At 44.4% G+C, this 12,477-nt stretch overlaps 1 protein-coding gene across 1 annotated transcript in view; it reads right to left on the reverse strand.

The window, feature by feature from the left end:
* Window positions 1-12,477, reverse strand: part of DAB1 (DAB adaptor protein 1) — a 1,551,949-nt gene that overhangs the window by 1,456,196 nt on the left and 83,276 nt on the right. The window lies entirely within an intron of this gene.

The raw sequence follows: 12,477 nt of genomic DNA on the forward strand, positions 1-12,477 counted from the left end.
CGGTACTCACCAAAATTGCCAAGGTCAGGAAAAACAAGGAAAGCCTGAGAAAGTGTTACAAATCAGAGGAGACCAAGGAGACACAATAACTTTCTAATTTTTTAAATTTTTATTAATTTAATTTTATTTTTTCAGGGATATGATTTTGCTCTGTCACTCAGGGTGGAATGCCATGATGCAATCACGACTCACTGCAGCCTCAGCCTCCTAGACTCAAGCAATCCTCCCGCCTTAGCCTCCCAAGTAGAGGGGACGGTAGGCACATGCCATACACCCAGCTAATTTTTTATTTTGATTTTTTGTAGAGGCAAGGTCTCACTGTTTGCCCAGGCTGATCTCGACCTCCTGGGCTCAAGCGACCCTCCCACCTTAGTCTCCCAAAGTGCTGGGGTTACAGGCGTGAGCCACTGAGCCCATCCCTGACACATGATAACTAAATGTAATAAGAAATCCTGAATTGGATCCTAGAGGAGAAAAAAGTCTTTAGTGAAGAAATGGGTGGATCCAAATTAAAGTCTGTAATTTGGTTAATAGTATTGTGCCAGTATTAATTTCTTAGTGTTGACAACATATCATGATAATGTAAGATGTGAACATCAGGGGAAAATGGGTGAAGGATACATGAGAACGCCCTGAATACATAAAGTTATTCCAAAATAAAAAGTATATTTTAAAAGATAAAGGACAAGAAAAGACATACTATACAAATACTGATCATAAGAAAGCTAGACGGGCTTTAGTAAACATCAGGATAGAAAAAAATACCAAAGATAAACAGAGGGAAACACAGTTAATGATAAATGGAGCAATAGAAAACAAACGACAAGTTAAGACTGGAAGAAAATATTTGCAGCTCACATACTCAGTGTAAGACTTATATTCAGAAAAATATAAAGAAGTCTCAAATCTCAACAGTAAGAAGCAAAGCATCCACTTTTTTTCTTTCCTTTTTTTTTTTTTTTTGACGGAGTTTCACTCTTGTTGCCCAGACTGGAGTGCAATGGCACGATCTCCGCTCACTGCAACCTTTGTGCCCCACCGCCCCGCCCCCTGGGTTCAAGCGATTCTCTTGCCTTAGCCTCCTGAGTGGCTGGGATTACAGGTGCGAGCCAACACGTCAGGCCAATTTTTGTGTTTTTAGTTGAGAGGGGGGTTTCGCCACGTTGGTCAGGCTGGTCTCGAACTCCTGACCTCAGATGATCCACCCACCTTGGCCTTCCAAAGTGCTAGGATTACAGGCGTGAGCCACTGCACCTGGCCTGCATCCTTTTTTTTTAAAGGGCAAAAAAAGAGACACTTTACCAAAGAAATTATTCATATGGCACATATGCACATAAAAGATGTTAAACATTATCAGCCCCTAGGAAAATGCAAATTAAAATCACAATGAGATAGAGATACCATTATAACCCTATGAAAATGGCTAAAAAAAAAAGAAGACAAAGCCACATGTTCACGATGATGTGGGCCAACTGGAACTTTCATTCACTGCTGGTGGAAATGCAACATCACAGAGCCACTCTGCAAAAAAGTCTACAGTTTCATACAAAGCTAAACCAGGCGCAGTGGCTCACGCCTGTAATCCCAGCACTTTGGGAGGCCAAGGCAGGCGGATCACCTGAGGTCAGGAGTTCAAGACCAGCCTGGCCAACGTGGTGAAACCCCATCTCTACAAAAATACCAAAAAAAAAAAAAAAAAAAAATTAGCTGGGCATGATGGTGGGTGCCTGTACTACTCCCAGCTACTCAGAGGCTGACGCGGGAGAATCACTTGAACCCGGGAGGTGGAGGTTGCGGTGAGCCACGATTAAGCAACTGTACTCCAGCCTGGGCGACAGAGAGAGACTCCATCTCAAAAAAACAAAAAACAAAAAACAAAACAAAAAAAAAACAAAGCTAAACCTACACTTGCCATACAGCTCAGCAGTCCCATTCCTAGGTAATTAAAGTGAAAAAATGAAAAAGTATATTCACACAAAATCCTGTACATAAATGGTATAACTTCTCTTTTCATAATTACCAAACACTGGAAACAATGCGGCGTGGATAAACACATTGCAGTTTATCCATACGATGGGATACTACTTAGCAATTAAAAACAACAACAAACAACATGGATGAATCTCAAAGGCATCGTGCTGAGTGAAAAGACCATCTCAAAAGATACCGTGCATGATTCCATTTATATGACCTTCCGGAAAAGGTAAAACACTAGTGAGAGAGAACTAGTGATCACCGGGGGGTAGAGGTGGGGGAGTGTGAAGCACTCAAAGCAAAGGGGCACAGGGAGTTTTGGGGGTGACAGGCTCCTCTGTGTCCTGAAGGTGATGGTAGTGTCACTAATCTATACATGTTTACCCAGGGAAAGGAAGTCGACTTGACTGCATGTAAGCTCATATAATAATTATAATTGAGAACAGCAATAATAACAATGGTGAATGGCTATATTCCTACTCGCGAGTCTTTGCTCACACTGTCCCAACCTGAAAGGATCTCCTTCACTCCTGTCAGCCTATCTGTAGCAATCTCAACTAATTACTGGAATCCTGCCTCTCGAAATTCCTCTCCTTTTGAATCTCACTGGCCCAGGTGGCCCGTGACCCGAGGCGTGCTGCAAAGGCTTTGTGAAATAAGCCCCTCTGGAGTCAACCTCCTTGATGCGCTGGGGATGCCATCCTTGCCTCTGCAGAAACACTTCTCACTGCCCTCAGGTGCTCTCCAAGGGCTGCAGCTACCTCGGGTTCTGTTTCCACCAAGATTCTTGGCTGTATGGAGGAAAACCTCCCCCACCTTGCACTAGCTTTAGTAGAAGGCATTTATTGATTGTAGGACTTCACAAAGATCTCACAGAACCTGTGAGAGAAAACTGAGGAGAGTCAGGACTCAGGAATGGAGACCTGACCTCTAGCTCCCAGGCCTGCCCAGCCTCTCCTTTTCCCCATGGGTCTGCTCCAAGCCCTGGCTCTCCCTCACACCTGCTTTCTCCTGCTTGCACATCAGCTTGTACAAGGCCCCCAAGTCTTCCAGCTCCACATCACCTCCGTGCTACACACTAGCAGCAGTCTCTTTAAGTTTTCGATACCAAATCTTGGAGAGAAATATCAATTGGCTCAGCCCAACTTTTTAAATCTGCTACACAATTCTGGGCTTCGACTGGGCATTCACCTCTGGCCCAATTAGCAATTGGATAAAGAACGGGATCAAATGGCCTATGAGCTGCTCCATCGAGGGGCTGTGGCAAGAGCAGGCAATACAATAATTGCCTCTGGAATTAACTCACAGAAATGGCAGGCTACAAACACACAGCTCTCCCTGGGATGCAAAGTCAAGACTACACGTCCAGCTGCAGGAGCAACTGCAGTTTGGGGGCAGCCAGTGAAGCCTCATCTTCAGACCCATTCAGGTGGGCCAGAGCAAGAGAAGGCCCTGGGTGGGTGAGGTCAGGAGGCCTCCTAGAGCCAGACGCTTGCAGGAGTCGACCCAAACTCAGAGTTCACCTTGAGCAAGAGACGGCCACAGCAACACAGAAAAGCTTTGTCGACGGATGTCAGGGCAGGCTAGGGGCGGGTGCAGGGGCGTGTCTGTGAAGGGCACTCAAGGAGGCAAGGAAAGGAACCCACGTCCGAGGGCCACACCTCCTTGCTTTCTAAGTAGCATCAGCCTCCTCCTGCTCCCCACCACCTGGGGACCCTCCCTCCTCACCCAGGGCTTGATTGAGAGGCGGCTGCCTTGTCCCCTCTGCTCTAGGCCTTTCTGAGATTTCATCAGTTCCGCCTGTTCACAGACAAAACAATTCTCCACACTCAGTTTGTGACAGTAAAGCGCTTTTCTCCTTTCTCAGGAAAGAAAATACGTGGTCACACCCTCTTCCTACCTTTGAATATTTATTTTTTCTGTAAAACTGAAATCCCTCGCTTATCCTACCACCCCAAGAGCAGATCTAGCCTGACCTGCCCTCGTGCTGCCTTCAGGTCACTCAGTGGTGACGTGTACCATCCGAAACTGCATTTGCACATTTTCTCTCCAGCTCATGAGCTCTTTAAAGAGAATGTCTTTTCCATCTGTTTCCCTATCACCTTGCACAGTTCTGAGGAAGTGTCTATATTTGAGTTCTTCCAGCAGCCGCTCTGAGTGAGAGCAAGTAGTTCAACTGGGAGAGGATCCCAGGAAACACCTGCAGGGGATCAGGAGTGTGGGAGGGGGAAGGAAAGGCAGCCAGGGGCTGATGCATTTAAAATCCAGCTATGACTTGTGAGCAAATGGAGCTTATGCCCACTGGGAAAGCCCTGGGAGTGCAGGATGCACACTGTAGAGTTGCCCTTCCACAGGGCGAGGGAGCTAGGGTGGTTACTCACCAACACCTGTCAGTCATCAGGGAGGGGTGCTTCTACGTGGCCTTAATACCCTAGGATTGCAGGCCCACCCCGCGGACAGGCGCAATGCGCTGCAGCAGTCAGAGATGGTCCTCAGCAGAGACATGCAGGCACTGGCCATTGGAACTTGGCAGAATTGGAAATGAAGTGATCAGGAGGCGGAGAGAGGGGTGAGGCGGTGCAGTTTAGTAAACACCTACTGAATTATGCTCAATGAACTTCAGAGGTCTTTGGGAATTGACTGTTTTTCTTTTCTATCACTACAAAGGGATACACAAAAGAATGAATGTTATTCTATTTAATTATTCACAATTTTGCTGGAGAATCTTAGGCTGGTTACTTCAGTCTACTATTCCCTCCCAATTGCCTTTCCTTTAAAAAACAAAAAGACACAAATATATCCTCTAATTGGATATCTGTCACAAATTGGACGGTTGATTCTGATTCTGTGGTTGAACAAGTGAGTGGTGTCTCCTTCTTTCCTTCCTCTCCCTCTATAAGCATCTCTCGCAGAGCTGTGAGGTCAATCAGATCAGAAAAATGTCCCCAAAGGGATAGCTCTTCATCAGTCAGGGGCACACCCATAGCAGGGGCTCCGAGTCAGCCCAGAGCAGGGCCCTGGCTCTACCTCCACTCAGTGTATGACAGTGGGCAGACGACATCACTTGTCTCTGCCTCACTTGCGTCATCTATAAAACGGGCATCTACCTCACTTAGTTTTGTGGAGATGAAATTACATAAAGTATGGAAAGCATTCAGTACTACGCTCAATACTTGGAATCTCTCAATTTTCTTTTCTTCCCTAAATTCAGGGTAACACTGTAAGGGAAGGTCAAATGAGGGAGAGCAACTGATTTCAAAGACTGGGATCTTGGGGGATCCCCATACACATAGGAGAGAACTGAAGCACAGAGAGGTCAAGAAAATCATCCCAGATCACACAGCTCAGCTGGGATTAGAACCTGGATTGTCTGGCTACAGAGTCTACATTCATAATCACTATGTTTTACCGATTTGTCTGGGGGGAGGGTGTGAGTTGAATACTAGAAGTGGGAAGGTGATGAAGTAGGTTCTTTGTAAGGAAAGAACTCAGAAATGCATTAACTATGGTCCGAAGCAGAGCAGGCAGGGGTGGGAGTGGAATGGAGGCATGGACAGGAGGGATGTGGCAATGGAGGAGTGTGAGGACTAGGGAAGGCTGAGTGAGGACGGCAGAAGGAAGAAAGGATCAGCGGGGATTTGTATTTGCCAAGCCTGTGGCTGGTTTTTGGCATGTGTAACTTAGGGCCAGAAAGCAAGGTTTGCAGAAAGATGATGACACAAATCTCGAAAATATCCATTGAGTCACCAAATACTTATGAAGCTCCAGCTACATATAAGCTCCACCACCTCCAATTAAGCCTTAAGTATGGCTCAGAAATACCTAAGGAGCTTGCTGTTAAAATCCTAGCACTCAGACCTTACTATAGACAAGTCAGTATCTCTGGAGGTGAAGCTATGGGCATTGGTATTTTTTAAAAACATTCCAGGTGATTTTAATATGCATGCAGGGTTGAGACCCCCGGAATTCATTATCTCATTTAATTCTTACAGCATCCCTGTAAGGTTCTATTATTATTATCTCAGAAAGACTAAGAAACCGCTCAGAAGGAGCAGAGCCAGGGTTTAAACTTTAGTCTATGTGCCCGCAAAATCCATCCTTTCTGCCAGTATGCAAGCTTATAACTTAAAGGAGTCTTAAAGTTTGCCCTGTTCCATCTCCTCTCATTTTGCACAGTAGAAAATCGAGGTCTCAGGATTGGAAGTGAACTGTCAGAGGTCACTCATACCAGTCATGTCAGAGTCCAGACTCCAACCTGCCTCTCCTGGCCCTCAGCCCAGAATTCATTCTTCCCAGCCAGGCTGCATTCTGTTTTAGTCTAGAATATTGATCCAAGAAGTAGCGAGGAAAACCACCCGAGAGTCAGACAGTGCTCCCTCCCTCCCAAGGCTGGAAAGACAGGCACGGTATTTCGGGGAGGTAGTGAGAAAAAGAGTCCCAGCTGGCCACCTCCTCATGTCTACACAATAGCTCCAGCTCAGTGACAGCCAAACCCCTTATTAAGCGGCCTGTGCCATCTCACCTCCTGCCCTTGCTGAACTTACACAGCTCATGTTGTACAGATTAGGGAAAAAAATCCCTTAACCCCGAGGCAGAGCAATAACAACATGGAAGCCAACACGGAAGGCAGTTCGTTGTGTTGGCTTGAAAAATAACGAAGGTGACATTTAGGGCTGCTCTGGCCTCCCTGTCATGGAGTCTCATCATTAATTAAACCGTCTCTGTTACAGACAAACTTCCTAGTCAGTCTTGGAGTGGGGGTGAGGGCTTCCTGTCCTCTGTGGCCCATTAAAGATGTAGGAGTCTTCTTTTATTTCCCTCTGTCCCCCCAGTCACCTGAAATCTAGTCTCTGTCCAATTCCTGGTGCTCACATGACATTTCTTCAGGAGAACATAATTGGCTGTTGTTGACGGGGAAAGGTGGGGAGAAAAGGCAAGAATGGTCCGCTACACATCAACGCTCTGCCTGGCTGATAGATGCTATTTATTGAAAGCCCATGATGGACCACTCACTCATTCATACATTAATTCATTCAACAATTAGTTACAAGTAACTCATTTATGTCAGGCACTGTACTAAGTGCTGAATATGCCATTTGATCCAAACAGGCATGTCCCCTGTCTTCCCGGAGCACAGAGTCTAGTGCTGCCCAACACAGTGGTCACAAGATTCAGGTGGCTTCTTAAATTCAAATTGGTTTAAATTACATATAATTAAAAATTCAGTTTCTCATTTATACTAGCCACATTTCAAATGCTCAATAGCCACATGTGGCTAGTGGCTGCCATATCAGACCGACAGAACAGTCCCATTGTCACAGAAAGTTCTACCAGACAGCACTGGTCTAGTGAGACAGGCAGACACTTTCTATATATTCTTGCCTCTACCCCTCAAAGATCCTTTGGAGATAGGTGTTGTTTCCCCATTTTAGAGAGGTGGAAACAGTGATCAGCTGGTCAATTTGGAGCCAGGATTTGAATCCAGGTTTGTTCTACTCCAAAATCTGTAAGTAACTAAAAGGTACCAGTATCAAAGCTACAGGTAGCAAAGTGGTTAAAAGAATATGTTTTGCAGGCTGGGTACAGTGGCTCATGCCTGTAATCCCAGCATTTTGGGAGGCCAAGGCGGGTGGATCACTTGTGCTTAGGAGTTCGAGACCAGCCTGGCCAACATGGCAAGACCCCTTCTGTACTAAAACTACAAAAATTAGCTGGGCATGGTGGTGCATGCCTGTTATCCCAGCTACTTGAGAGGCTAAGTCAGGAGAATCGCTTGAACCCAGGAGGTGGAGGTTGCAGTGAACTGAGATTGAGCTGAGATTGTGCCACTGTACTCCAGCCTGGGTGACAGACAAAGATTCTGTCTCAAACAAACAAACAAACAAAAAAAAAAAACGGTTTGCAGTCTACTTACCAAAGTCTAAATATTAATGTGGCTCAGGTTTTTTTAACCTCTCTGAGCCTCAGTTTCCTCATTATATAAGGATATTCATATGGTCACTTGATATTAAGGTAGAGATGAGTGGTGAGATAATATATGTGTGCATGATGCCTGGAATGGAGAAAGTCCTTAATGCATGGTAGCTGTTGTTTTGGATAAGAAAGCTGAGTGTAAGATAGGAGAATGAACAATAGCAGCTTAGGACCAGAACAGGATTAGCCCAGAAATCATTTCTTTGGAAAAGTTAAGAAGACAAAAATTAAAACCGCCAAAGAACACAGAGAGTGGGCTCAGGATTTTGAGCATTGCGTTATCTACTGCAATGTTACAAAATCACCAAAACCTAGGATCTTAAAACAATAAACATGAATTATCTCACTGTTTCCGAGGTTCAGAAATTGGGGAACAGCTTAGCTGGGTAGCCCTGGCTCAGGATCTCTTGCAAGGTTGCAAAATAACTGTTGGCTTGGGCTGTGTAATCTGAAAGCTTGACTGGGGCAGGATAATCAACTTGCAAGAGAATTTAGTGATCAGGCTGTTGGCAGGAGGCCTTGGTTTCTCTTGGGCTGTTGGTAATCATCCTGGATCTTTACCACATGGGCGTCTACACAAGGCTCTCCAAGTACTCTTAAGAATGGCAACTGGCCTTTCCAAGGGCAAGAGGCCCAAAGGAGAAAGAAAGAAAAAGAGAGGGAACAAAAATAAGAGTGCAGAGAGAGAAGGAGCATCCAGTCTTTTTATAATGTAATTTCACAAATAACATACTATCATTAATACTTTATTCTATTTATTAGAAACAAGTCACAGGGCCGGGTATGGTGGCTCACACCTATAATCCCAGCACTTTGGGAAGCCAAGGTGGATGGATCACTTGAGGCCAAGGGTTCAAAACCAGCCTGGCCAACATGGCAAAACCCCATCTCTACTAAAAATACAAAAATTAGCCTGGCTTGATGGTGCATGCCTGTAATCCCAGCTACTCAGGAGACTGCGGCATGAGGATCACTTGAATGCAGGATCCAGAGGTAGCAGTGAGCTGAGATCATGCCACTGCACTCCAGCTGGGTGGCAGAGTGTGACTCTGTCTCAAAAAAAGAAAAAGAAGAAAATCACAAAGTCCAGTCCAACCTGGACTAAGAGAGGATTTATACTCCACATCTTGAAAGGAAGAGTACTGAAGAATTTGTGGACATATGTTGAAACCACCATAAACATGAACTGGGCTAAGTGCCCAGAGCTCCCTTTGAGCAGAGAGCATGGATGACTCCACAAGAGTTGAAGCACAAAGTCTAGGCATATATATATACCATTTTACTATCCAGGAGCTCTGGGTCAGACCCAGAGGGTATTAAGATGCCTGATCCTATCAGATGAGGAAAATGGCACCAGTAGGACATATCTGTGGTAGAGATGCACACACGTGGGACTGGGCAGGGAAGGAGGGTGCATTATCTGTATTTCAATAGGATATGACACTCAGTACCCATACAACCTTTCTTCTAATTGGGGTGTTGTGTTTGGAGAGGTGGGGACCAGAAACACTTCTACGGAGAAACATTTCCAAAATTGCATTGTTTTTTATTTCTGGCCAGAACATCTGTCCTGAATTCCTGTCTCCCTTCCTTCACTTGGCATCAGGTTGAATAGTGAGAAGGAGAAGGAAGAAATGAATAGTTACTGAACACTTACTATGTCATTTTATTTATTTCTCATAACTGTCTTATCAGATAGGTGTCACAGGCAGACTATTGGAAAGAGGGTCCCTTCCCACGCATGTGTGTAGCTGTCCGTAGTCCTGAATCTCATTGCTCTCTGACTGGGCTCCACCCAGACAGTGTGTATAATGATTCATGGGAGCTAAGGGGAAAAAACATATTGGCCTTTCAATTTAGATATTTAAATTTAAAATCTATGAAGGTTTACTAAGATGCAATTTACAGATGAAAATGAATGCTCAGTATTTGTCACCTACTGTTTGTCAGAGATCCTGGAGAAAGTGTAAGTGCCCCATGGTGCAGAGGAGCCACCCATGACACTCTCACTCCATGTTTGGCTTTCAACATTTTATGGTTGATTAGGGATGACTTGTGCCCAGTCAAGTAGAGTTACAGATTATATTATTTAAAATACTAGAGCTGAGAAAAGATTATGAAAGCCTTCTGTACCAGATAGAGTTTCACTGGTTATCCCAGTGGGCTGGGTACTTAAAAGAGTCATCAGTGTAAGCAAGCATTTTTCTTCCATTAGTAAATTATTTTAAATTACTATTTATTTTTATCTCATGCTTTTAAAAACCTCCATCTTAAAAATGTCCACTTATGTATGTTTTAGAAATAAAATATTAGTACAGAAGTTAACTGTGTACTGTGTTAATATAGAAATATATATACATTGGTACTAGAAGCTCAAAATTTTTATTGCCAGTAGAGGAATATGATCAAAAAAGAGTGAAGACTACTGTCTTAGAGTCTAGTTCTTTCTTTTAATGTGATTGAAACTTGCTCTCATTCTTTTGGAGCAATTAAAAGTAAGGAAAAGGCAGGGGTAGCTAGAAGGGAAAAAGCAAAGATGGAGACACAGAAGAGATGAAGGCTTTGGCGGGCCAGTGCTACTCAGGGATGGCCCAAGAGAAAGCAAGAGAAAAATCTGTCCAAAGCTGTTTTCACATAATCACATTAACCAAGGACAAAACCACAGTCAACCCCAGCTAACCTACTAAGCAGCTAAAAAAGGGTCAGAAAGGTACATACACATCAAAGGATATGGAGCCAGCAAGTGTGGAGATGAACAATGGTGGTTCTACGAGCACCCCAAAGACTACCGATGAAGGCACTGAACTCTCTCTGAGGCTGAATTATTCCCAATGGCTCCTGATTTTTTCTGTTTTTATTTTCTATCCTGATGAGAAATGCGCTGATTTTCACCCTGTCTCAGAACTAATAGAACTTTGAGATGTAGTTCACAATTTATGTAACTGATTTCATATACTTCTGCCAGCTATATCATGTTTCTGACAATTACAAATATTTCTCTCCTCACACCAAGGAATTGTGGGGCATCCACAATCATGCTGCTCTCCCTTGTATGCTACAGTCTGGGTGCTATTCCATCTGACACTGCAGGCAAACAAACTGAGGCTGACAGGGGTGATGTTACTTACCCAAGGACTCAGGGGGGTAATTGGCAGAGACAAGATTGAGATCCACGTCGATCTGAGAAGGTTTCTTTTTTTTTTTTTTTTTTTTTTTTGAGACGGAGTCTCGCTCTGTCGCCCAGGCCGGACTGCGGACTGCAGTGGCGCAGTCTCGGCTCACTGCAAGCTCCGCTTCCCGGGTTCACGCCATTCTCCTGCCTCAGCCTCCCGAGCAGCTGGGACTACAGGCGCCCGCCACCGCGCCCGGCTAATTTTTTGTATTTTTAGTAGAGACGGGGTTTCACCTTGTTAGCCAGGATGGTCTCGATCTCCTGACCTCATGATCCACCCGCCTCGGCCTCCCAAAGAAGGTTTCTTAACTAAATTCTTTTCTGTATTCTAGGTGTTAGTCTGGATACCCTCAATCCCAAGGCATCTCAACCAGTAGCAATTTTTAGCGGTTCAGGGTATCCCCAAGCTGTTCTCAAAACTTCAAGTCTCATTAAAATGGCACAATACAGGTGATTTTTTAATGAGTACAGTGTTTTTATTGGATGAAATCTTTCAAGGGTGGAGTTAATGATGTAAGAAAATCAGATATGTGGTCATCGGTGGTCAGAATATGGGGAGCCATTGCTTTAGATTTTCACCCAGAAGACAAATATCCCGCATTAAATCCCTTTAACTTCAATAGCATACAACTTAGCCAGACTTCTTATTAAGCAGGTAACCTCAGGCTGTTCATTTGACCTTATGTGCTTCAGTTTCCTCCTCTGTAAAATAGGGATGAAGACAGACATACCTCTGAGTGTTATTGTACGGATTGAAAGAACTGAAACATGTACAGAACTTAAAACAGTGCCTGACACATAGTAGGAATTCAGGGACAACTGTCGTTCTTATTGTTATAACCTCAGCTTCCTTGTCTGTAAAATGGGGGTAGTTTATGTACTATTTATCTCATAGGATGATTGTAAGACTCAAATGAAATGGTGAAAAAGTGCTTCATAAGCAATGTCATACTCTGAAGATGAGAAAGTATGCTGCAATTTTCACTCCTATGTCTCACATACGAAACAAGTCTAAGAACAGTGTATTCCAGCCAAGAAATTAAAAGCTTTGTTCCTTTGGAGTCAAGAGTGTGTCCCTGCACAGATCAATGTTGCTGAAGTGAAAAGAGAGAGATTTAATTACGTTGAGCCTTAGTGCCTTCCCCACTGAGAGCAGAGAGCTCCTGGTGAGAGGAGTAGCTGAGTGTGGAGGTGACAGGTCGTCGTATGAGTGCCTGGGGACTCCTAGACATAAGCTCTGTCACCTTCCTAGGGCCAGACAACTTGACAAGGGAAGAGCTGGCTCCAAGGAGAAGGTGTGAACCTGTGTCTTTGAAAGGCCATGATCTGTGATGAAATCTGTTTTGTGTGTGGCACCC

Source organism: Homo sapiens, chromosome 1 (assembly GCF_000001405.40).
Source record: "Homo sapiens chromosome 1, GRCh38.p14 Primary Assembly".
NCBI classification, from domain to species: Eukaryota; Metazoa; Chordata; class Mammalia; order Primates; family Hominidae; genus Homo; species Homo sapiens.